At 44.4% G+C, this 26,184-nt stretch overlaps 1 protein-coding gene across 3 annotated transcripts, besides 1 other annotated feature; it reads right to left on the reverse strand.

The window, feature by feature from the left end:
* Nucleotides 1,478-1,979: an enhancer, noted in NCBI's record as "NANOG hESC enhancer chr8:57208438-57208939 (GRCh37/hg19 assembly coordinates)". NCBI's record gives its function as "activates a minimal SCP1, AML or CMV promoter by ChIP-STARR-seq in naive H9 embryonic stem cells {active_cell/tissue: H9 hESC(naive)}" and the evidence as "EXISTENCE:reporter gene assay evidence [ECO:0000049][PMID:30033119]".
* SDR16C5 (short chain dehydrogenase/reductase family 16C member 5) lies at nucleotides 5,604-25,774 on the reverse strand. Of its 3 annotated transcripts, NM_001318049.2 has the most exons (8): nucleotides 25,658-25,774; nucleotides 21,614-21,960; nucleotides 17,756-17,887; nucleotides 14,527-14,626; nucleotides 12,275-12,419; nucleotides 11,196-11,321; nucleotides 9,537-9,683; nucleotides 5,604-7,172 (listed from the first exon to the last, which is right to left on the reverse strand). In NM_001318049.2, exons 2-7 carry the CDS (start codon nucleotides 21,944-21,946, stop codon nucleotides 9,563-9,565), a joined length of 957 nt encoding a protein of 318 aa, NP_001304978.1. In that variant the 5' UTR covers nucleotides 21,947-21,960; nucleotides 25,658-25,774; the 3' UTR covers nucleotides 5,604-7,172; nucleotides 9,537-9,562. The 3 variants fall into 3 exon arrangements, with proteins under 3 accessions (NP_001304978.1, NP_620419.2, NP_001304979.1); NM_138969.4 differs by lacking the exon at nucleotides 9,537-9,683; NM_001318050.2 differs by lacking the exons at nucleotides 9,537-9,683; nucleotides 17,756-17,887.
* Nucleotides 25,775-26,184: the final 410 nt, after the last annotated feature.

Here is a 26,184-nt window from a genome sequence, read left to right on the forward strand (position 1 = left end):
GTGCCCGGCCAGGACCTTTTTTTAAGAACATAAAGTACTTACCACCCATATTCTTTCTCAGCTTTGTGGCTTCAGCCAAAATTTCAAGACATCAAAAAAGTTCCATTTGACATCCTGTAACCTATATTTATATACCTATTATGTAACACGTGGTAAAGGGACTGAAACATAACAGGCACTCACTACATATTTTTGAATGGAAAAATAAGGAGAGGAAAAGAGACAGGGCAGTGAGAAGGGAGCAGGTAAGGAAGAAATGGAGATAAAATAGGAAGCATAAGGGCAAAGAGGGCCAAGATTCAAAATTTATCAAAAATTATATCAACGTAAATGGCATACATAGAGTATGTTGAATAGCAGCATAAGCAGAAGTTCAAAGTGAGGCATTATATTTTCTCTTTTTTAAATAAACATACTAAAAAAAGAGTGAGGCAAACAATTTTCTATTAAAAAGAATTAAAATCCATAGCTTTAAGCAATTCTACTTCCCACAGTGAAATATCAAAATATTCTTAACATATAGAGGGAAAAAGTGAGTAGATATATAAATGTTAATATAAAGAGATTTCAAATGATACCAGAAGTTCAAGGTCAGAGTTTAGATAGGGGACACAGTAGATACTGATGTCTGTTGAGCATTAGCATGTGTCAAACCCTGCATTTGGCATTTTACAACTGTCAACTCATTTAATCCTTGGGACAGTCATATGAAGAACTGCAGCCATTTACAGATATGGGAAAAGGGTCTCAGAAAGTTCAAATCACTTGATTTCAATCAGTTTAGTTGCATAGCTAAACTGATTGATTTGAATCCACATCTGTGACTTGAGAGAGCCCATGGCCAAGATTACTGATGCCTGCTTTCCTACTCTTAGAAATCTTCACAGTCATTCGACAGAATCATGGCTACTGTCCTAGAAACTACAATCACCTGTCTCCCTTGCATCCTTGCATCTCAACTAATAGTATTTGAGGGGAGTGTTGTGTGAGCTTCTAGAAATAGTCTTTTTATTATGTTTTTTTAATGTGGGTCTGCTTTCTAGGGAATAGAAATATTCTTAAAAGGCAAATCGGTGCCTTGATTGCTTTCGTCTTTATCCCTTCCTAGGTCTGCTGCTCTCTTGACCCTAATGATGATGGTCACATTCTTGGGATGGCAGAGCGAGGAGCTGTCAGTAGCCTGGGTTCCTTCTTGTTATAGCAGAACCAACATAGAAGACATGGTTTGTCTTCCTCTGGACTTTCACCTGACAAGAGCAGACTTTCATAGCTCTTACATGGCTGTTTACTTGGGGCCACAGTTATAGTGAATATAGAACTTAGTACCATACAGGAAGTGCTGCCCATAACGGAAATGGAAATATGTGGTATAATGAAGGTCGTGTCGTAGGTGAGAGGTGGTAAGTGTTCAGAATCTTCCAGATTCTGCAGAAATCTGGGCATACTTGTTTGGCAGTGGAAACATTTGGTTCAAATGGATCCTACTCTACCTTGGAAAATGTATTACCTGCTGAGTATGACTGTAGCATGAAGGGAAAAGGTAAGACAAATTCAGAATTTTTCTGTGGCTTGGGTGCTCTGCAGCTTTGAGCAGAAACTCACAGAAGGGAGCTCAGTCTGGAAAGCATAGCATGCAAGCAGAGGAGGGAGGGAACCCAGCCCTCTCTACCTGCAAGCCAAGTTGACTGAGAGCATGGCAATTTGGAGCCTTGGAGGGTTGAAACAGCCAACACCCTCTGTGCCTGATGGGAGGCCCTCAGAAGTGTAGATCCCAGACAATGGCCTTAGGGGAAGAAACATTGTGGTCCTAAGTTTTTCCCCAGCACCTTCCGTTAAGGGTTGACTGCCAGACCTGGGATCCAGTCAGCAATAAACATCACACCATGGGTATGGCCTTTCCCCTAAACCTTTCCCACCACATCTACCAGAGACAGAGGCAGGCATGGGCAGAGCACAGGTGCCAGTTACAGAGCAGCTTTCAGTCTTAAAGCTTCGTCCAAGCAAGATCTGTGGCAGTGGTTTAAACGGCCAATGAGGAGGATGAAATAAATACACAAGAAGCCAATTGAGTTATTGGAGCCAATTGTATTGCAAAAGTGAAGACAGCCTTGACACAGGCTATAATTCTTCTTCCCTCTAGTTTGAGACTATACAATCTGTGTAGCCTTGAGAGAGAATATAGTCTGCAAAGCTCACCTCAGCTGCGGGGAAAATGTTAAACAACAAAGAACCCTCTAGGTTCATGGAGGACAATGGACAAGATGGCATATCACAGAGTAGAAGCAAGCAGGGCTGCCTGAGAAAGGAAGCACTTGTGATTCCTGCCCAGCAAAATCCCATCACTGTGGACCATCACTGTGTTTCTTCTGTCCCCTTCCTGGTTTTGAATGGAAAGTCTCCTGGCCTCCCCTCATTCTGCTCCCCTCCCTCTTCCCCTTCTCTTCTCCCCTTCCCTCGAATCCCCTCCTCTCTTCTCGTCTTTTCCTTCCCCTCCCCTTCTCTTTTCTTTTTTTTACCCCTCTCCTCCCCTTCCTTCCCCTCCCTTTCTTTCTCCTCCTGTCTCCTTTCCTTCTCATTTCTGACTCTAATCATGGCTATTCTGCTTCTCTGCACCACTGTATGTAGAGTGAGATGGGGGTGAATCACTCACCTTGTCTCTTCTTGGTCATTCGGCCATGAAGAGTCATATTAGGATCTGATGGAGGGTGCTGCCTAGCGCCATAGGTTCTGGACTTCTAGTGACCTGCAGTGACTGGGCAGATCTTTACAGTGGAGAGGGTCTGTGCGTTCTGTCTGATTAGAAGAGAATACATAAATGTATGGGGAAGACTGTGGCAGAAACTTTTAAGTTAACATCCAACATCTGGATCTTATCTTTTCCCACAGTAATAGGATCCCTGGTGTTTAGGTGGCTCAGGGTGGTGCAAAATAAAGACCATATTTCTCAGCATCATTTGAGGGCTGCTTTAGTCATGTGATGAAATCTGACCAATAGGATGTGGTGTTTTGGGGTGTGCAATGCCCACAGATTGTACTGAAAGAGTGCAGGGGTGCCTTATGCCCTCTGGGGTCTTGCGGCCTGGAATGTGAGCATAATGGCTGAGGTTTCAGTGGTCACTGTAGATCACACTTATCACTGATGTTCAGGACGTGAGCCTGCATAGCCGAGCAAATGCACAGAAGGAGCTTGGGTCCCTGACTCTGTGGAGCACCCTACCAACCCTTAATGGCTACCCCAAGGCTTTTAAACATAACGGAGAAACACACTTCTACTTTCTTCAAGCCCTTATTACACTGGAGTTTTCAGTTACCCCAGCTGAATGAAATCCTCGCTGACAGAGCAAGCAAGCCTTGATGCAGAAAGAGTGGCCAGGAAACTATTGCCCCGGCAGGGAACTGACAATGAGAGTCTGAACTAAGGCAATAGCAGTTGGGATGGTGAGGACAACATGCTAATGAGGTCGAGAGGTAGCACAGACTGGATTTAATTACTGATTGGACAAGGAGATGACAGATAAAGTAAAAGTAGAGCATTATACCTGGGTTTCTAGCTTGGATGGTGTGGAGGAGCAATGGGCATGGTTAAGAGTCCTCAGAAGGAATCTACAAAGTCAAAGAAATCCAAAGATAGAAACTTGAAGAACACAAACAATTTAAGGAGTGAACAGCAGAAGAGACCAGTAGGTAGAAGTGTCACCAGGACCACCTGCTTGAGAGATTAATAATGTCAGTCATGAGAAATAAAATCTCATGAGGAATGAAATCCCTGGGGATCTTTCCATAAAAATCACCATGACATGGTAGACATGAAAGCTGGGGGGCTTAGAAGCCAATGTGAATCAAAGAGATGGACAAATTACCTGAGGCTGCATTTTACTTATTTTTTATTTAATATTTTAGAGACAAAGTCTCACTCTGTCACCCAGGTTGGGGTACAGTGGTGTGATCATAGCTCACTGCTGCCTTGAACTCCTGGGCTCCAGCAATCCTCCTACCTTAGCCTCCTGAGTAGCTGGGACTACAAGTGTGCACCACCACATCGGGCTAATATTTAAATTTTTTGTAGAAACAGGGTCTTGCTGTGTTGCCCAGGCTGGTCTTGAATTCCTGGCCTCAAGCTATCCTCCTGCCTTGGCCTCCCAAAGAGCTGGAATTACATATGTGAGCCCTGCTCCCGGTCCAACATGGTTCATGAGCCTGGAATGTTGAGGGTGCCTAGCACCAGACATGTTCGTCCCAGAGCTGCTCTGCATGGGACGTCTGGCTTCACAACAGTTTTTGTCTGGTGGCCCAGATTTTCAGTCATATTTTTCTCAAGTGCTGACTCTGGCAGGTTGGAATTAATTTCTTTCAGGCATTCTCAATTCACTCTGCCTCCAAGATTCAGAATTATTTCATCTGATGAACTGTGACCATCTCAGCATGAGGACTCTAAGGAGTGTAAATGTCATTTGTGGTCTGGTTTTTTTCTATCTTGGCATCTGTTATGGACTGCATGTCTGTGTTACCCCAAAATTCATATGGGATGATGTGGGACTTTGGGAGGTAATTAGGGTTAGATGAGGTCAAGAAAGTAGAGCCCTTATGATGGAACTGGTGTCCTTAGAAGAAGAAATATGTCTTTCTCTCTCTCTCTCCACACACACACACCAAGGAAAGACTCTGTGAAGACACAGCAAGAAGTTCTCCACAAGCCAGCAAGAGAGCCCTCACCAGAAAATGAACCAGCTGGCACCTTGATCTTGAACTCCTAGCTTCCAGAATTCTGAGAATTAAATTTCTGTTGTTTAAAGTACTCAATTTGTGGCATTTTGTTATGGTGGCCCTAATGGACTAAGACAGCATCACAATGTAAAACCACACACACACACACACACACACACACACACACACACGGCATGACACACATTTTTACCCAGCAAAACTCCATCTTACACCAAGAATTCTTCTCTGCTTTGGAGCAGCTCAGTGAGTACAAGATGCTGGAAGATGCGCCCTGCAGGGCAGAATGCCCAGGCATGGGGCACAGCCCTGGCCCTGTGTCCTTCTGTTTCCTCAGCCTGGCTTAGGTGTTGGGCTCTTGGTCATGGCTTCATTAGGACTAAATTTTGATGGAAACGGGCATGACACACATGCCAAGAGCACTCCTTGCTCCCCAGGGCATTAAATCACCTTGTTATTTAGTGCCCTCTAGAATCCACTAATTTACATGTGGTCTCTTCTCATAGAAGCATCTCAAGTAAATCTGAATTTGTTTAGACAATTTTATGGGTATTTTAAAACCACAATTGAATTTCAGGCCTTTGTCGCAGTCCAGCCAAGATGCACTCCAATTAGAAATAATTGCTATTAATGCTGTTATGATGTGGAGGATGCCTGCAGTGCTCCTGGACCTTTGTTGTACTGAATCCCCGAAGAGTCTGAGCTTTATTCTTTAACTAAATAGACAGGACCCTAGAAGATACGCTTCTGGAATTGTAATATTACAGCAATATTGTGCTTCTCTCTTAATTAACCTTGTTAACCAAGGATTTGGAACATCAGTGGGTGACTCTGAGAGGGCCTTTGATCCTCTCAGTATACATCTACAGTGGAATAAGATGTCACTGTGAAATAAAACGCCTTTATTCTTTGGCATACACCAAATACCTTCATCATTCTTTGAGTAATGATTGACAGTCTCGTTTAATGAAATAATGTTTGTCAAATACTTAATTTGCTGCCGGGCACAGTAAATGTTAGTTATGATTGTTATAATATTATCATAAAACAAGTTTTTTTTTTTTAAGGTTTTCTGAATGGAAAGGAAATACAGATCAGGGCTGTCATGTTCGTGCAGGCCACTCAAGGTAAACCATAGTGGATTCCAGAGTTTACACCCCCTGAGACTGCTGCCCCTATGACAGCATTTTACCCCCAAGATAGTCAAATTCTCAATTCTTTAGACTTTTACCGGGTCTCCCAAGGTACCGCTCATCCCCTCCTTGCTCCCCACAAGAGGGAAGAGACAAAGGCTGCTGTTTCTCTTGCAAGGCTGCCCCCACCAGCCTGAGAAGGAGTTCCAGGGATATGGTAATTAACATATTTTTCTTAATCTTGCTTTTATAGTTAATCTCCAAAGCATGAAAGCACTTTGCCAGTTGATTAAACTGTAAGAATACAATAGATCCAAAGTGAGGGCAGCACTGATGAATATAAATGCATAAAATTGCCCATTCTGCAGGAAAATGCCTCAACCTGAATCCCAACTTGAAATACTAAGTTGAACACTTAACTTTAATTGCACGAATATATTTTTTGGATCAATAGATAGCAAAAAACCTAACTTGGTATAATTTCATCTTCAAAGTAAGAAGCAACCACTCTTTGATCTCTTCTAGGAAACAAAAGTGATTCTATTTAAGAGTTTGGTCTAGGATCACTGCCTATGAGGGGGCTTCAGGGAATGCCCGGTAAGGCTCTTGGGCACAATAGTGCTGGATGGGCCTTTAGCCAGACTGCCACTCGGTCTGCGTATCCAGGGCATTCAGAAGCATTTGTGTAGCTGTTTTGGAAAGAAGGGCACTGGAGGCGGGCCTTTTCTACATTAGGTGGTACAGGTTCAAAATGGCCAGAGAGGATAGCAAGGGGGTAGAAATCCAGAGCTGTGTGTCCTCTGGAGAGAGGGCATTCTGGCTGGATATCCACATGTCCTCTTCGCCCCTCAGCCCTGCTCCCCAAGGCAGGTCAACCACAGCCGCTGGCTCCATTTGAGCCACCTCCCCAACGACCAAAGCTCAGGGCAGCTCATGGCCATGGCTTATCACTTTCTTACATCTGTGGTAATGGAAATGACAAAAATGGGCTGTCTTTATTTTTGGAAAAAAAAAGAAAAAGAAAAAACCAAAACTCAACCAAATAGGTGATAGCAACATTATTTTCAAACACATTGATTGAAAATTCTAGTCCAGATAACAGAATAGGAGTGGTACTTGTGGTCTCCAGATATATTCCACTGTCAGACAAAAATACTTTTCTTCATTGAAGTACGCATTATGTAACACTGTGTATCAGATGACCTTAGCCATAGAGTTGGTCTTTAGAGCTTCTTCTTTTGGTCAACAAAGCCATCCATTGCATGAAGGATGCCCAAATAGTCAGCTATAAGCAGTCCTGTCTTGAGGGGCAAAAAGCTAAAGAGAACACAAGAATAAACTTTCTTTATTATCATTCATGAAAGCCTCTTTACCACCTCTACTGAAAAGCAGTGTCACCTCTTGTGGCAGATGAAGTCACTCACTCATGCACACACTATGCAGCCTGAGTGCTACCCGCCTCAGGGTCACTGGGCCTTGTTCACTATATCCGGGGACACTCGCCCAGGGCCTTGACAGGTCTTCTGGCTTAAGTTATTCAATTCACTTCTCATTTCGGTTTCCAAAGCATCACTCCACTGTACAATGACACAGAGGAAGCAGTGAAGTCTTGTCCTGTAGGCATGCGCTTTGGGGGCAGATGAGCCTGGCTGGAATCCTAGCTCTGTCATTTGCAGTGCCGCCTTAGGCAATCGACTCAGCTCATAGACCTCAGTTTCCTCAACTGTAAAATGAGGTCATCAGTCTGCCTTTCTGGCGCTACTGTGAGGATGAGATGCAATAGCTCCTCAAACCTTGGGCAAGACCCAACTAACACTGTCCATCTTCTCCATCCACACCTGCCCCTCTGCAAAGCCATATACATGCATGATCATCATCCCAACAGAGCACTCTGCTCCACTGGCCTTTGCATTCAATACTGCAGAGCAAGGAAACAAAGCAGGCACGGGAAACCTGAGACTCATCCTAAGGTGGGGGTAAAGGAAAGGACCCCATGCTCCTTGTTCCCCTGTTTGGGCACCCCAAGATCTCCAGGTGGTTCATCCCTCCCACAGCTTCAAGTCTCTGGTCAAGTACTACCTTCTTTATGAGACTCCCTCCACCCACCAAACACCATTCTTAAAATTAATTCTCACCGGCCGGGCGCAGTGGCTCACGCCTGTAATCCCAGCACTTTAGGAGGCTGAGGTGGGCAGATCACAAGGTCAGGAGTTTGAGACCAGCCTGGCCAACATGGTGAAACCCCATCTCTACTAAAAATACAAAAATTAGCCAGGTGTGGTGGTGCACGCCTGTAATCCTAGCTACTCAGGAGGCTGAGGCAGGAGAATCACTTGAACCCGGGAGGTGGGGGTTGCAGTGAGGCATGATTGCACCACTGCACTCCAGCCTAGGCAACAGAGCAAGAGTCCATCTCAAAAAAAAAAAAAAAAATTAAATCTCACTTAGATGTGGTGGCTCATGCTTGTAATCCCAGTGCTTTGGGAGGCTGAGGTGGGAGGATTGCTTGAAGCCAGGAATTTGAGACCAGCCTGGGCAACATAGCAAGACCCCATCTCTAAAAAAATAAAAATAAATTAGCTGTGCATAATGGTGCACAACTATAGTCCCAGCTATTTGGGAGGCTGAGGTGGGAGGATGGCTTGAGCCTGGGAGTTTGAGGCTGCTGTGGGCTATGATCAAGCCACTGCACTCTAGCCTGGGTGACAGAACAAGACCTTGTCTCCAAAAAAAATTAAAGAGTAAAATTAAAAAAAAAACAACAACGTAAATCTTGGCCGGGTGCAGTGGCCCATGCTTGTAATCCCAGCACTTTGGGAGGCTGAGGTGGGTGGATGACCTGAGGTCGAGAGTTCAAGACCAGCCTGGCCAATGTGGTGAAACCCCATCTCTACTAAAAATACAAAAATTAGCCAGGCATGGTGATGGGCACCTGTAATCCCAGCTACTCGAGAGGCTGAGACAGGAGAATCACTTGAACCAGGGAAGGCGGGGGTTGCAGTGAGCCAAGATTGCGCCATTGCACTCCAGCCCGGGTGATGAGCGAAACTCCATCTTTAAAAAAAAAAAAAAAGAAAAAAAAAAGTAAAACTCAACTTGCACCCATCTACCTCCCACTGTGGGGTTTCCTTTTTTCCCTTTCCTGCTTTATATTTCTTCAGAGCACTTATGGTCTTTTCTTTTACCTTACTTTTTTGTTTGTTTCTTTTCTGCCCCCTCACCCCACAGGAAGTGATTTCCACATGGGCAGGGACCACTGTTTGTCTTGTTCTTTGTTGTAACCCTAAGCGCAGATCCTTGGATGGTGGGTGATTCATGACACACAAAGCACTCTCTGAATATTTGCTGAATGAATGTTTGGTGGAGTGTTTGATGTGATTGCCTTTACTGATCTTCTTCACCTTGCCTTTAGCTTACTCAGCAGCTATCTAGCCCTCTCTCAAAACATGTCCCATAACTAGTATTGCATAAAACTAAACATAATCTCCACAGTTATTCAAAGTAGAAAAATTAAGTTCCGTGTTCTTACCATTGGCATTACTATACTATAATCTGCCATCTATTAAGCAAAAAGAACTTAGTGTGTTGTGAATGCACACCCTGCCCAATAAACAGTGCATTACACGAATCTACAAGCTACGACAAACATTGTCTCTACAATGTAAATGAAGAAGCCAAGACCTGGAGAATAAAGGGCACGCTCAGAGTCACAGACTTAGTGAATAGTGGGATCGTAAGCCTGAATTTCGAATTGCTTGTCCAGGATCCTTTGCTCTGTCCCACATAGCCTCAGTCAGGCATTCTGACCCATCCTGTGCCAGATGAAGCCTGGAAAAATGATAGTATGCAAGAATGACATTTGGTTCATTGCACAAAGTAGATATAATTAGCTAATGAGAAAAGAAATTTCTGTACACAGGATGGACAATGGCTGCTGGCCATGTAGTGGAAGTGAGGTATAATATCTATCTTCAAATAACTAGGAATTGTCATTGGCAAGACTGATGGAATTGCACATGGAGCTGGGGGAGAAGCACAAACCAATGAGGGGAAGTTCAAATGAGGCAGATTTCAACTCAAGGTGCTTCCTCACACAGCAGAAAGCCCAGTGAGGAAAGATTTAATTAGATGACCTGTTACAGTCTAGAAAATGAATTGAGATAACAGGAATCAGCAGCTCACCACTATCCTTGTAAGTGGGTCAAATGTTCATTCAGTGCCTATGAATTTCAGCACTGAAACTCCATGGAGAGCAGGGAAGGGTGCACAAGAATGTTTTTTGCACTTTTTTTTTTTTTGAGACGGAGTTTTTGCTCTTATTGCCCAAGTTGGAGGGCAATCGCGCGATCTCAGCTCACTGCAAACTCTGCCTCCCTGTTTCAAGCGATTCTCCTGCCTCAGCCTCCTGGGTAGCTGGGATTACAGGTGTGCACCACCATGTACGTTTTTTATTTTTTAAGAGACAGGGTCTCACTCTGTTGCCAAGATGGAGTGCAGTGGTCTGATCATGGCTCACTGCAGCCTCAAACCCCTGGGTTCAAGCAATCCTCCTGCCTCAGCCTCCTGACTAGCTGGGACTATAGGTGTATACCAGCCTCAAACTCCTGGGCTCAACCAATCCTCCTGCCTCAGACTCCTAAGTAGCTGGGACTACAGGGGTGCACCACCATGCCTGGCTTATTTATTCATTATTTTTGGAGAGATGGGGTCTTCCTTTGTTTCCCAAGCTAGTCTTGAACTCCTGGCCTCAAGCAATCCTCTCACCTTGGACTCCCAAAGTGCTGGGATTACAAACGTGAGCTGCTGCTCCCAGCCTGTTCTTTTGCTTTTAAGAGGTGGTTTTAAGTTTTTTCCCTCAAATTCTTTAACCATCCTAAGAGCTCAAATTTATTATGTATTGCTAATTGTACCCATACCACAAATTTCTATAGCACTTGGCTTACTGTCTGGCCTTGACTTTGGGACCCTGTACTTGAGGAGGCATGGATACAATATCTATTCCAACAGGATTATTTTATCATGAGCGCAAGAAAATCTCTCCTAAAAAAATCATTTCGATCTTTCCATCTATCAGTACATCCACTTCTTTTTCAGAATAATTCGATACTAAGGTGGCAGGAAGGATTAGACCCCATTTTCTTGACTCATGGCGGGCACTGCAACTGTGTAAATTTGGTATTGTGTCAGCAATGGGCACAATGATAGGACTAACAGGACTTAATAGAATTAAATTAATGAATTTTAATTTATCAGGTATTTTTAAAGTGGCTTCTCCTGGTGGGATTTGGAGTAAACTGTAGACTGGCATGTTAGGGAAGTAATAGAAGCTGATGTAATTACCTTTTAAGAAACATCATGAAGTATAACAACTTTGGCATATACAAGTACATTTTTTCTTGTAGAATAGCTTCTACTATTTTTTCAACTGCATATTTTGGTTCCAGAATTGGCAACAGAGAAGGACAGCTAGGATATAAAATGACAACAATTAAAAAAAACCCTGAAGGCCAAATTCATAAATAAAGATAATTTTTCAAATTAGGGATAAAAGGTTTTAAGACGTTATCACTTATTTCTTTGCTTTTCAATTTCATTTATTTTTATATTTACTCCTTTATTATCAATGTGTCAATGCAGTAAGTAGTAACATAACTAAAATATGAAATGAAAAATGATTATTAATACACTGATATTACAATATACATATACGTGAAACCATATTAAACAAATATTCCAAATATTTGTAAGGCAAGTTGTTGAAAACACATTGCCTGTAGTCTCCATGAGATACAGAATTGGGCATCTGTGACTGCTACGGACTGGGTATTTGTGTCCCCCCAAAAATTCACATGTTGAAGCCTAAACTCCCAATGTGACGGCATTTGGAGGTGGGGCTTTTGAGGTGTAGCTAGGTCACCAGTGTGGAGCCCTCATGAATGGGATTAGTGCCTGTCTGAGAAGAGCCTATCAGCACTTTGATCTTGGACTTCTAGCCTCCAGAACTGTGAGAAAGGCATTTTTCTTGTTTAAGCCACCTAGTGTATGATACTTCATTATAGCAGCTCCTTCTATATGACCAAGACAATGTCTCTCCAGTTATTTCTAGTCCTCCTGGAATCAGAGAGGGAGCAGAATGGGATTGGATGGCAGGAAGGGGATGTGGCCCTGAGAGTCTGGGAAATGGAGGAGCAGATCCAGGGCCTGGGGGAGCTGAGAGACACTGCCTTGATAAACCATTCCCATTCAACTTGGTATCCTTCACACAAACACATACTAAGAAAGACAGAATTCTAAAACCATTTATAAATCATACTGAATCCCAGAACAATATATTTTAAACAACTTAAAAAAAAGAACAAAATAAAATAGCAAAACATTTTTAAGAGTGTAGATTCTTTGAAATTAAAGGACATACTTACCCTGTAGTACAACCTTCAAACATTCCAGTTTTTATAAAAAAGGGGCACACAATCGTGGTTTTGATCCCCTTTTGTTTTTGGACAAATGTTTCTACAAATACAGATTCAGCAAACCCAAAGGCTGCAAATTTACTTGCACAGTAATCTGAAAAAGACAAAGCATGATAACGTATATTCCAAAGTTTTAAAATGGCATTACATTAAGGTTTACCCATAACGCTAACAGCGACAGAAAATAAGACAATTTCAGAGTTCTCCTTTTGTGTAATCTTGGTCTACTCCCACTGGAAGAAGTGAGCAGGGAGTGGGAAGGGACATGGTTAACTGAAGATCAGGGTCAGTTGACAATGACCAAGTAGAGCCCAGCACAAGAAGGGCTGCAGAGATCCTGTCTCAGGTCACACTGCTGGACTTTACTTACAAGTAAATGCATTGTGAGCCCCTGTGCTAGTTCTTACATGGTGCCTTGTCTCAAAAAATTGCAATCCCATTGGGGCATGAAGACATTCAAAAGAAGAAATAAAACACTAAGTGATATAGGAATCTAGGCAAGAGAGGCCAGCATGGGTTGTGATTCTCAGATGAAGTTTTCTTCCAACTATAACTCTTTCCTTCACTTCCAGAAAAAAAAAAAGGGCTTGGTAGCTTCAACCTCCACCTCTTAAATACCTTGAAAATGTAGGGTGGGGGCAGAGGAAGGAGTGGAAAGTGGCATTTGTGTCCATTTTCAGCTTTTTGTCTTTAATCATACCTGTTTTAACAAAACATCTGACTATTCAGTTGACTAAGTGAAGAAGTTTGGAGAAGAAATGGCATTGAGGTACATTAACACTTTCCTTTGCTCCACACATTCAGAGGAGGCATATTTAAACTTGCTATGTTACGGTGCAGCTACTGCAACTGGCAAGAGCCAGTTTATAAGCGCCAGGCGTGGGGTTGTCCAGCCCTAGTGCTGTCCAGACAGTGGGTCAGAGGCTAGAGACTGGGAAGGGGGACGAGGAGTCCAGAGCAGCTTCTAGGGTCATTGGAGTCATCAGGTATAAATGCAGCTGAGTCCCTTGACCCCTGAGATTCTGATGAGCAGATATGGCCCATGACCCAAGGAATCTGCATGCTAAACTGGCACCCCGGTGGTTCTGATGCAGGGGAGTAAAGACTCACACGGTGGGAAATACAAAAGGCTTATACTTGTTTCTAAGATGAGCTGCAGGTGCGAGAGTCCTGTATCTCAAGACAGGAATGTTCTGTCTGAAAAGGATTGATAAGGAGCTGTAAATATACCTGAATGATTTCAAAGGCCCGTGACAACAGATATATAAGAGGGAGGTAAGAATAATACCTGATAAGTTCTAAGAAGGAGAGAGGAAGGGAAGTCCTGGGTCATAAGGAGGATAGACTGGTGATATTTGGGGTGACTGGTGGTCCTGAAAAACCTATTCATGTAATAGATATACTGAGCTAAGACTGGTTTTGTGAATCTTGAACTACGCCACTTTGCTTCAAAAGCATTAGGAACCACCCAACTGGCAAACTGGCTTATCTGTTATCCGAATGTTGCTGCTACAGTTCTGTTGGATGAGTTTTAGCAATGTTTGTAAGCCAGGACTTGGGACATTTCCTCTAGGGGATGCTGTGGTAGGTTAGGTCAAGATTTCTATTCCTTCTAGAGCCAGCTCCCAAGTTGGGCCTCCTTGGTTGAGGGTCTTGAAGGATCTCTTTGCCCTCTCCCCACTGCTACTGTCAAGTCAGTTGGTTGTTGCAAGGGAGATGAAAATGCCCACCACTTCCTGCAGGTCTTCAACCAGTGGAAAAACAAAGCAGTTAACTTTAGGTATCTTGAGGTGTAGAAACTTTATCCAAACTCACAGCAGTGGGGAGACCACTTAAAGGAAACTTCAGGAGAAGACAGGGTCATCCTCCTTACCATCTGTGACAGTGTCAGTGTGAACTTTGGTGGACAGTTGTTTTGTTGATCACTTGTGCAAAAAATTTATCAGTGAGGCCTCTCTCTCTTTTAAACACAGGGTACTGCATAAGACCTAATGATTCCAAAGGGCATAGTCCAATTTCATGTAAGTCTATCTGATGGGCAGTTTTGCTACACGATGAAGTTATCAACCACTTATTGACTATACTTTTTAGTTTATTATCCTTTATCTTAGGGCATCAAGTCAGTGCTAATTATTCAGAGCTATTGTGTAAGTTAAAGTTATAGGGAATTTTGCAATTGTAAATTGCTATGTTTTTCTTACCTGCCAGCCCATTTACTCCACTTAATCCAGCTGAACTTGAAATGCAAACCAAATGTCCATGGTCATTAGCAATCATAGCAGGTAGAAAGGCTTTATAAGTCTAAGAATACAAAGGAAAACTTTTAATGTTTAATGCCACATTGTATAATTTTCTCAGATATTTATATACTCATTGTGATTAAAAAATCTTTTTTTTTCAGCCTGTAAAATATCTGAAGGTATGGGGATATAAAAACTTAAACATCTGGAAAGTAATCATTTTAACTTATTTAACCTGTTAAATCAGTTTTTTATGGCAATTCCAGTATTATTAAAATAATTTATTCAGACTTATGTTTTTGCTCATATTTGACTTTTAACGACACAATATTAAAACAAGAATTGAAGGAGTAAATCTTTGTTGTGGCAGCCACAACCCCAAACCTCACAAACATGATGCTTTAGATTTAGATTGCCTTCTCTCTGCTTAGCTTGATTTTGAGTTTCAAATTTTCCCTGAACATTGTTCACAGGACATCTGGCTGTTGACTTCAATTTTAAAAGAGCACTTTGTTTTAAACTCATCTCTTATTTTTGTTCCATTTCGTAAAACAGAATATCTATTAGAAAGAGGACACATCTGTATTCTGTCCAACACCTTCACCCTTGATTGGGGGCCTGGAGAAAGAAGGTAAAAGAGACAGAAATGAGCTTTTAAGGAAGACATCTTCTGCATCAAAGGAGTAACTAATCACACCAAAGACAAGGAGGTGAGAAAAGGGATCTCTTACAAAGGCCAAACCTCACTTGTTTGCCTGCATTGCAATAAGTCTCAGAGAGAAACTAACAGGTAGAGAGAGGTGGGAAATCAAAACAAAGCAAAAGGAAGCAGTGCAGCAAACACTCTGGGGTCTGCCATGAGTTGGGACACTTCTCAGTAGGGACACTGCCTTTGAGAGCCCAGCCTTCAGGTAGCTCTTGGACGCTCTAGCAGTTAAGTCACTGTCTTTGTGCCTGGCAATGTGCAGATGCTCAAAGAATGTACATGAACTTGCCCAGAAGAAGTAAAGGGAGTGAGATGACATGAGGAGTGGTAGGAGCCAGGGAAACACCAGCACTGAAGGAAGAGGAGGAAGAGGAAGAGGAGGTAGAGGAGGAGTTGGAGTTGGAGGAAGAAGAAGAAGGAGGAAGAGGAGGAAGGAGGAGGAGAAGGAAGGAGGAGGAGGAGGGAGGAGGAGGAGGAGGAAGGAGGAGGAGGAGGGAGGAGGAGGAGGAGGAAGGAGGAGGAGGAAGGAGGAGGAGGAGGAAGGAGGAGGAGGAGGAAGGAGGAGGAGGAGGAAGGAGGAGGAGGAGGAAGGAGGAGGAGGAGGAAGGAGGAGGAGGAGGAAGGAGGAGGAGGAGGAAGGAGGAGGAGGAAGGAGGAGGAGGAGGAAGGAGGAAGAGGAAGAAGAAGAAAAGAAGAAAAGAGAGAGACAGACACCATGAAGGCACCTGGGGAAAAACAGAGAGGTAGGAAAAGAACACAAAGCCAGGCCAAGCGCAGTGGCTCACACCTGTAATCCAAGCACTTTGGGAGGCTGAGGCGGGCGGATCACAAGGTCAAGAGATGGAGACCAGCCTGGCCAACATGGCAAAACCCTGTCTCTACTAAAAGTACAAAAATTAGCTGGGTGTGGTGGCGTGCGCCCATAGTCCCAGATACCTGGGAGGCTGAGGTAGGAGAATTGCTTGAACCCGGGAGGTGGAGGTTGCAGTGAGCCGAGATCGCGCCACTGCACTCCAGCCTGGCGGCAAAGTGATACTCTATCTCAAAAAAAAAAAAAAGAAAAAGAACACAAAGCCATGGGAGTGGAGACTTCCAGGGACCATGGTCTTTATCTTCATTCTGACTATATATGAGTATAAGCAAGCACCAAGGAGAGGGACATTTGGGACAAGATAAATCATTTGCAGTAGTTCTTGTAGGAACATGGTAGCCACTAAATTCTGAATCTTTCCATTTTTCTCCTGAAAACTTTACAAAACACCAAGAATAGCACCAGCACCATTACATTTTTGGTGGAAATAGGGGACAGAAAATCTACAAATTCCAAATTACATTTGAAGGCTGCTAAAGAAGACTTGGGTGGAAAGGTGTGAGGAGAATGGAGGAGGAGCTCAGAAATCTCCAGCAAAGACTCCCAAGAGAGAGCCTTGCCCAGGAATGACGAGCTACGAGCAGGGCTGGAACCAAACAGGTCAAAAGTCCTGTGATCCCAGCACTGTGGGAGGCCAAGGCAGGCGGAACACTTGAGGCCAGGAGTTCAAGACCAGCTTGGCCAATGTGGTGAAACCCTGTCTCTACTAAAAACACAAAAAATTAGTTGGGTGTGGTGGCGCGCACCTGTAATCCCAGCTACTCAGGTGGCTGAGGCACGAGAATCGCTTGAATCCGGGAGGTTGGAGGTTGCAGTGAGCTGAGATCACACCACTGAACTCCAGCCTGGGAGACAGAATGAGACTCTGTCTCAAAAAATTAAAATAAAATGATAAAGTAAAATAAAAATACAACTTTTAATAAAAGCTGGGAGAGGCAGCAAGAGGGTGCATGCATAGTGTGGGGAGGCCTGAGATGGCTGGTCTCAGCAAAGGCCAGAAACATGCAACTTCTGGAATTGAGTGGGTGGCTTTAGAAGTCAGGACTGTGCTTTTAGCGCTGGTAGCAGGTGGTAACCTGGGTTACCAGTGGAACCTCTAATTTCTCTGGTTGGGTACTAACTAAGGTGACTATAGGTTTTGGTTTGCCCATAACAGACCTGATTAACACTTGCTCATTAATAATGCTGAATTTCACTTCCAAAAGTGTCCCAGCTTAGGCAAATTACAAAGCTACCCTGGTCCTGTCTAAGTGCAGTTGCTCGCTATGTAGCCTGGAGCAAATCTTTTAAGTTCTATGATCCCTTATCTCACCGAGCTGTTTTAAGGAAAATATGTGAGCCACCTGGAGTATTTCCTAACATTTGCAGCTAATCAATACATGGTAGCAGGACCATGAGGACAGTTCTGTCCTTGTAGAATTCCCTAAGCAGAGGTCCTGGGGGCTGTAGATTAAGTGGCATCAGAAAAGGACAACTGTGTAGAACAGGACAAGTCCAAAACTGAGAAGTCTCTGCTTTACTTAGAGGCTAATAATATTGTAAAAGAGCAAGAGGAAAATACTTCCAAATGCCAGAATAATTTTACATTTATGATGAGAAGAAACAATTATTACCCATAAATGTGCTTTGAAATTCACATCAAATGACTTTTCCATAAGCTCATCTGGACAGTCAAGGAACTTTTTGCCTGTTACGATTCCGGCATTGTTGATTAGGATGGAAACATCGCCGACTTCTTTTTTAACCTGAATTGAATAAGAGCAACACCACCAATGTAGTAATTCCTTACATGGGCTAGGTTTTATTTTCCCAGAGTTTTATGTTTTTTTTATCCTGGTTAATTCATACTGAGTTTATGCACTCTAAAAATACAGCTTGGGGCCAGGCGCAGTGGCTCACACCTGTAATCCCAGCACTCTGGCAGGCCGAGGCAGGGGGGTGACTTGAGGACAGGAGTTTGAGACCAGCCTGGCCAACATGGCAAAATCCTGTCTCTATTAAAATTACAAAAATTAGCCAGGCATGGTGATGCGTGCCTCTAGCCCCAGCTACTCGGGAGGCTGAGGCAGGAGAATTGCTTAAACCAGGGAGGTGGAGGTTGTAGTGAGCCAAGATCACACCACTGCACTCCAGCCTGGGTGACAGAGTGAGACTGCATCTAAAAAAATAAATAAAGAAATAAATACAGGTTGGTTTATTTCCATTGCTGAGTCTACAATGCACCACACACCAAGTTTTTTTTTTTTTTTTTGAGATGGAGTCTTGCTCTGTCGACCAGGCTGGAGTGCAGTGGCACGATCTTGGCTCACTGCAAGCTCCGCCTCCTGGGTTCCCACCATTCTCCCGCCTCAGCCTCCCAAGTAGCTAGGACTACAGGTGCCCACCACCACACCCGGCTAATTTTTTGTATTTTTAGTAGAGACAGGTTTTCACCGTGTTAGCCAGGATGGTCTCGATCTCCTGACCTCATGATCCACCCGTCTTGGCCTCCCAAAGTGTTGGGATTACAGGCATGAGCCACTGCGCCTGACCTCCAGAGATCAAGTTTTGATGTGCTTTTCCCATTTTTCTCTTCTTAAAATGAGTCCATGTTCAAAATGCTACTTTCTGTTTACAGTTAGAGCTGTTCTTCTACTCAGTGGTTAGTAACTTTGTTCTGTGCTCTGTATGTGGCATTTCATTTTAATCAATATGATGGGACATAAGAATAGCTTCATTATAGCCAAATGTGACATAGATCAAGACCTCACACACGGAGAAGGGGCTGGATTAGGGAATAAATAGAGGAAAAGAGAAAGTACAGTCATAAATCACTTAACAATGGAGATACATTCTGAGAAGTGCATTGTTAGGTGACTTGGTTGCTATGTGAAGATCACAGAGTGTACTTAATAAACCTAGATGTGTGGCTACTACACATCTTAGGCCATATGGTAGAGCCTATTGCTCCTAGGCTACCCACCTGTACAGTGTGTTACTATACTGAACACTGTAGGCAACTGTTAACACATTGGTTAAGTATTTGTGTATCTAATCATAGAACATTGGGACAGTAAAAATACTGTAATAATCTGTCCCATAATGTGGGACCACCATTTTGTATATGGTCCATCACTGACCAAAATGTCATTATATGGTGCACGACTGTATATATTTTAAACACACAGCACAGATTAGAATCTGCCTGTCCTGTTTTCATCAACTGGCTGGTTTTCTTCTTTCCAAGGATGGACTTCCTGAACTCAAGGCTAAGCTATGGCCTAGGGATACAAGCTTTCAAAGTTATTGGAGACTCAGCAGAGACAAAACGCTGTCATATCACTCTGAAAGCTTTCTCTTTGATTGCTCGTCTAAGGGCTACTTCTTAAAAACTCTCTGGTATTGGCCGGGCGCGGTAGCTCACACCTGTAATCCCAGCACTTTGGGAGGCCGAGGCGGGTGGATAATGATGTCAAGAGATGGAGACCATCCTGGCCAACATGGTGAAACCCCGTCTCTACTAAAAATACAAAAATTAGCTGGGCGTGGTAGCGTGCACCTGTAGTCCCAGCTACTTGGGAGGCTGAGGCAGGAGTACCGCTTGAACCCGGGAGGTGGAGTTTGCAGTGAGCCAAGATCATGCCACTGCACTCCAGCCTGGCGACAGAGCAAGACTCTGTCTCAAAAAAAAAAATTATCTGGTACTTTCCTTTCTATCCAGAATAAAAAGTGGAAATGGTGGGTTTATAAGGATGGGGAGTAATTTCCTTCCCCTGAATTCAGAGGAGCACATAAGTAATTCCCTCAAGACCCCACAGTGATAAAACCTGAATAATAAGCTAGTAATATGACATGTTTGGCTGTTTCTGAAGTCAAGCACCTGGGGCAGAACTAAATCACAGTTACAGGGAAAAGGGAAGTAATTATTTATAGAGTGCTTCATACTAGTTTATCCCATAGCTAACAATCTTCATCGTTTGAACATCAACCGGTTATTGCTTAAGGCTGGCCAGATAAATTGTAGTCAGTGTAAGTCAACATGCCAGGTGATCAGTGCTTAACTTCTAAGTAGCTGAATTTGTGAGATCAGCTGTGCTTGGAAGAGTGGGCCCAGCGTAGGCCCGAGCAAATTTGTCAGGTGTGGATCTCCAGCCTGTACTGGGCAGCCTGTGTTTGGAGATGGTGGTGGCAGAGAGGTAAAATGTAAAGACAAACTTGAAAGTCATAAACTTATCTGCCAGGGACCTGCAAACCTTAGCAAGGAAATCCTGATTGAGCCTAGAAGCTAAGGAGCAACTTTACAATGTAGTCAGGCTGCTCACGGCAGGCTTGGTTGGTTCTTCCCTTCTCAATAAGTTGGGCAATTCTGGGAGGCACAAAGTGTCCCAGGAGAGTGATGAGTGAAGTACTCAAGCCAATATGAGGACACAAAAATCCTTAGGACGGGCACAGTGGCTCATGCCTGTAATCCCAGCACTTTGGGAGGCCAAAGTGGGTGGATCACCTGAGGTCGGGAGTTCGACCAGCCTGACCAACATGGAGAAACCCCGTCTCTACTAAAAATACAAAACAATTAGCCAGGCATGGTGGCACAGGCCTGTAATCCCAGCTACTCGGGGGGCTGAGGCAAGAGAATCGCTCGAACCCAGGAGACAGAGGTTGTGGTGAGCCGAGATGGTGCCATTGCACTCCAGTCTGGGCAACAAGAGTGAAACTCCATCTCAAAAAAAAAAAAAAAATTCCTTGTGAGGGACGGGCACGTGCCTCTATGATGGTAAGAAAATCCCTACCATCTTCATGTCAGAGCTTTGGTTTCCTGAAAGCTTTATGTGTGTATCTGTATAAACCCCAAAGAAGAAAATATAGCTGAGTCTTTAGGATTAATAAAAGATTCTGATTGTCTTATGACTACTTAAGAGCAATACACATTCGAACGTAGGGTACTGTGGTGGAGTGGACACAGCCTAAATTTAAAATCAGACAGAATATGGATTCAAATCCTGCTTCCATCACACACCAGGTCTGTGACCGCTGGACAGGTTATTTAATGTCTCTGTATCTCGAGTCCTTATTCTTAAAGAAGGATGCCTCTATCCCTCCATTAACTTACACTGTAATAGGGGCCGGTATGGTCCGTGCAGTGTAATGTTAGAAGCAGGTACTCAGGTGTCAATAGATGCAAGTGGCAGCTATAGTCTTGCTGTTTACTAACTGTGTTTCTTAGGGCAGCTACATACCTGCCCTAAGCCTTAGTCTCCTTACTTGTGAAATAGGGATAATAATGGGTTTTACTTTATAAGGTTATAATACATACATGGTAGTTAGTACAGTGTCTTTGCATACAATAAGAATTCAAAAATCCCAATTCCCATTCTCCCATAATCTTGTTTACATTAAAGGGACACTGGAGACAGGCTAATAGGCACTGAGAAAGGCAAGTGAAAAAGAGTGTGATGTGTATCAAATTATAATAGTAAACACACAAGAGTTACCTGGTCGGCTACTCTATACACTCCTTCCTTTTGGCTGCAATCGCAGGTATAGGCGTGCACTCTTGTGGCTCCAGCTTCCCGAGCCATCTTACATGTTTCCTCATTCCCCTCCTTATTGATATCCCAGAGAACAAGAACAGATCCCAGCCGGGCAAACTGCAAGGCTAAGAGCCTTCCGAGTCCACTTCCAGCACCTGTGATGAGGACTATTTCACCAGCAACGTTCTTCCGTGGCTTTGGGAGTAAGGCAAAAATCATAGCCTCCAGAAGACTAAACAGTGATTTTCCTAAGAAAATGAACAGTTTCTTTGATGATTGCAGGTTGAAAGACATGTTCTGGCTGACACCTGTGAAGAAAGACAGATTCACATGAAGACTTATTTGTCCATTTCCTCTGAGTTGTTTACTCCACGGAGCTCCTATTTTCTGAAACAGTGAAAGTAACTGAGATATGTGATTTAAACAGCTCTCCTGGTAGCAGACTCTGTATTCAGAAAGTGGGAGGAGGAAGCCACAGGGACTATACTTATTCGGCTTTCTTACTTGGCCCCAGGCTCAGCATGTTATTTGCATGCCTGCTATGTGCAGTACACAACAGAAATGTTTGTTAACCAGGAACTGTAACCACCACACCCAAATTTAACACAAAAGAATAAGTTCATTATTGCTCATAGTTAGCCTTTCTTCATAATAATAATGAATCCTGTTGGCTGATTTTATGTTCAAAGTCTTGACCACATCACAATGTTTATAACATCATTACTACCTCTCTGGCTTTATGTTTCTCTCCTTTGATGTTTGTGCTTTCTCATTTGCATTCTCGTTAATTTTGCATTACTATTTAAAATCTGAGATTTGAGAGGAAAATGTAAAGTCCTATTTGTAGAAAGCATTTGACAGGAAGTAACCAGATGTTCTAGACCTTTTCCGACAGATTTGCAATCAGCACCAGATAGCCCTTCCCTAGGCTCTGAGGTCCCCGCACCAACAGCTCTATATCACTTACCACTCTGTGTGATTAAAGGTCACAGGCGAGGCAGACCTGGACTCCTGCCCTGCACTGCCTCTGCCTACCTGTGAACCCCATGGCGGGGGTTCTCTTGGCCTTACACTGGGCCTTGGTCTCTTCATCTATATTGGTCCCGTGGCATAGGGTGTTTTTGCAGATGAAATGAGAATGTTCCACGTATGACCACAATGCCTGGCTTATAGTCAGTGCTTTACAGATGTTATCACATTTCTCAGATTCATAGTGCTGCCCACCAAGAAGGCATCCACTAGGTCTGCTGAATGAATAAAAGGCCTCCCCTTGACAAACTCATACAGAGCTTAGTGCTTACATCCTGCTACCAGTTACTCACACTTTAGTGTGAATGAATATATAAGGTGTGCTTTACTAACCACTAGCTGAGAAAGAAGGGAAGGTCTTATTTCCTTCAGGATGGGAACAGAAGACATATTTAGCAGACAGCATACTGTGCTGGGGGTGGGAGCCTTCTCTGAATGGGGTGTTTAATTGAGAGGCTCAGACAAAGGCACAGGTGTGAGGAGACAGGAGGGGAGTAATGAAAAAAGAGCAGGTCTTCACAGTTTGGCTGAAGTCAGCCTAGTTGCGGTTAATGAGTAAGGGTGGATAGATTCATCTACAGGAGGACTTGGTATGTGGTCACACCCTTAGGAAATGTCGAGAGTCGATGCAACCCAGGCTGTTGTTCCTGGCTTATTGTACAGATGAGACTGAGGATCGAAGAGAAGATGTATGTGACTTGTTCAGGGTCCCTGTGCTGGTTAGCTGGTGAGGGCCAGATTGGTTCATGTGTTATGTTTATTGAGTATCCACCCTGTGCTGGTTCTATCTGGGCACTGGGGCTGAGGGGATGGGCAGCCTCTCATAATCTCTGTGCAGGTGAGCCAAGTAATCTAGTTGAAGAGACGTATTCAACAAATAAACAGATCGTTATAAGCCATAGTGTTATAAAGAAAAGTGCAGTGTGCTATGGAGAGGATGATCGGAGAGCTGATTCAGATTGGGCTTGGGAGAGGAAGCAACAGATGTCTGCTGGAAAGTGACCCTTTGAGTGGATATCCAAATGATGATGGTGGGAGGTAGGGATATTGAGCAGTAGCTTTCCTGGCAGAGGGACAAAATAGTTTGTTTTAAGGCAGGTTTGACCTGTGTGTCCAGGGCTGTCCAGAGAATAAGAATGTTTGCTCTAAGGAACATGGATGCTCTGGTCAAATGAAGAACGTTTTCATCCATGCTTTGATGAAATAGACCTCAAACTCTCTGTGATCTTTGCTCTGATTTACATTCACAGAGTAACTTTTGAATGATTGATCAGGCCTCTCAGGCACTGCAGAACTTGAAAAGGTGTCCTGAAAGAGGACTCTCATATCAAATACATGGAGCCTGTACCTGTGGATCTGCAAGGATGAGGGTCAGACTGTGCACACAGTAATGGGAAACCCTAGGCGCCCTTCTCAGACAGCAGCCTGGGCGTCGCCAACTTTGGAAAATCCACACCAGGAGTAGTTGGTCAGACCACCACATTCCCTTTTATATCACTATGTGAATTCACATAGAGGGACAGAGGTCTACTTCTCCCATCACAGGGCTCCAGCACCTCAGCAGTGGCCAGAAGTCTCAACATTGACCTGGGTGACATGAACGCTCTTAATGTCAGGACATTCTAGATTTCAGTGTTCCACTGTCTCAATGTTGGCTTGATGCAAGACCTAAAATATGTCCATCTTTTAACCCTGTCTTGGCAGATGCTTACTAGATTTCTAAGAGCTTGTCAGCCTGAGTTACCTCCCTTCCCCAGTTGAAGTTTAGGGTGCCTGCTGGGTACCCACACAGGCAATGAGGTCTAGAGATTAAAGTTTGGGTTGGAATTCCAGATATATCACTGATTTTCCCTGCAACTTTGGTAGAAATGATTTAATCTCTTGTGCCTCAGTTTCCTCCTCTAAAAAGGGAGTTTCTAATAGTGCATAGGAATACTTACCACACAGAGGAGCTGTGAGAATTAAACCAGTTTATATAGGTAAAGTTTTAAGGAGCATTATGTGGTCACTACTAGCTTGTGTGAAACCTTCGAACAAATTAGAAAAAAAAAAAAAAAAAGGCATTGCCCTGCACAAAGTCCTCTGCGGGGTGCAAGGGGTTGGGGAGGGGGTGCAAGAGGAGCTGTTTGGATTTCAACACCTGCCAGCTTACATGTCTCCCCCTCTGCTCCTCAATCCCCATAATAATGTGGCACAGCCATAAAACATGGAGGCCTTTCTAGAACAGTGCCAGGCACAGAATGACAGCAAAATAATTAATGGCTAGAACTTCCACTGGTCCTGTTAAGCATATGAATTAATAATCCCTGGCTATATCAATTAAATATGGTTATAGTATACTTACAAACAAGAGTGAATGTACGGTTCCATTTTACTGCAAAGACTTTCCTAGAATGTTACGGAGCGTATACAATTTAATCTGGCAGAAGTCTTCTAGGTGTCCCTATCTCGCGGCCTACCCAATCCAAACAGGCGCCCTCGGCTTCCCATACCAGTGCGCGGCAGCAAGTCGGCTCTGGTGAGGGCACCCGGACGAAACGGGAGGGCAGACAGACTGACAATCACAGCTTGGGTTGAAAGGGGTGATATGGGGGTTGATATCCACCCGGAAGGTGGATGCACTGAGCAGCAGAGAGCAGGGAACCTGGGCAGAACGGACCGAAGAAGAGGGTCCGGGGAGGCATCCTGCCCTCTGCTCCGGGTGGGGAGGGAGGCTGGCAGCTCACCCCCGGGGGCGAGGGGTCTGCGTTAGCCGTAGCCACGGGAGCCCGGGCTTCTGGGACGCTCAGCCGTGCGCTACCCGGTGCAGCTGCTTTCTCACCAGCTCGCGGGTGGGTCCTGCCGCGGCTCGGCGACCCGCGCCCCCTTGCGAGCGACCCAGCGTGAAACCAGCCCAAAGGGCGGCCTCGCCCGACCCCCGCCAGCGCGACCTCCTCCGGGAGCCAGCACCCAGGACCGACGACCTCGGCAACTTACCCAGGACACTCTCCCTAGCTGTCCGCGGAGAAGCCGGCCTCGTCTGCCCCAGGCACCCGAGTCCCTGGCTCGGAGCTCAGTCAGGTTCAGGTGTTTATCCAGGCGCCGCCCAAGTCCAAGGGCGGGACTGCCGCGGCAGCGCCAGGGGTGGGGCCGGCCGTAGCCCCAGTGCGCGACGTGGGCAGCACTCCCATCTTCTTTTTCTGGACCTGCAGATTTAAGAAGCTGGAAATTCGGTGGTGGAAACTGGATGCGTGCGCCGGATTTCTCTTAGGCTTAACGTTTCAATGCCTAGGCTGTACCCTAGATTATTAGATGGGAATTTCTGGGTTGGTAGGGGCCTAGGCATTAGCTAGAAAAGTTTCCCAGGTATTTGCAAGGCACAACCCCGAGGTTGGGAACCCTGGAATTAGAGAACAGAGCAGTATAGGCGTCCACGGGGGAGGGGCCAGGTCGTGTGTCTGGAGCCTGCAGTGCGGGGAGTTCTCCAGCAGCATCTGACTGCTCCACATGGGATCTTAAGTCAA

Source organism: Homo sapiens, chromosome 8, assembly GCF_000001405.40.
Source record: "Homo sapiens chromosome 8, GRCh38.p14 Primary Assembly".
NCBI classification, from domain to species: Eukaryota; Metazoa; Chordata; class Mammalia; order Primates; family Hominidae; genus Homo; species Homo sapiens.

What these genes read in the sequence shown, in the direction of transcription:
- SDR16C5 (NM_001318049.2), bottom strand. Translation starts at nt 21,946, where the DNA reads ATGTCTTTCAACCTGCAATCATCAAAGAAACTGTTCATTTTCTTAGGA. An exon ending in TGTATAGAGTAGCCGACCAG is followed by an intron (nt 17,888 to 21,613) that starts GTAACTCTTGTG and finishes TATTCAATTCAG; the next exon opens with GTTAAAAAAGAAGTCGGCGA. An exon ending in TTTGAAGGTTGTACTACAGG is followed by an intron (nt 11,322 to 12,274) that starts GTAAGTATGTCC and finishes TTTATATCCTAG; the next exon opens with CTGTCCTTCTCTGTTGCCAA.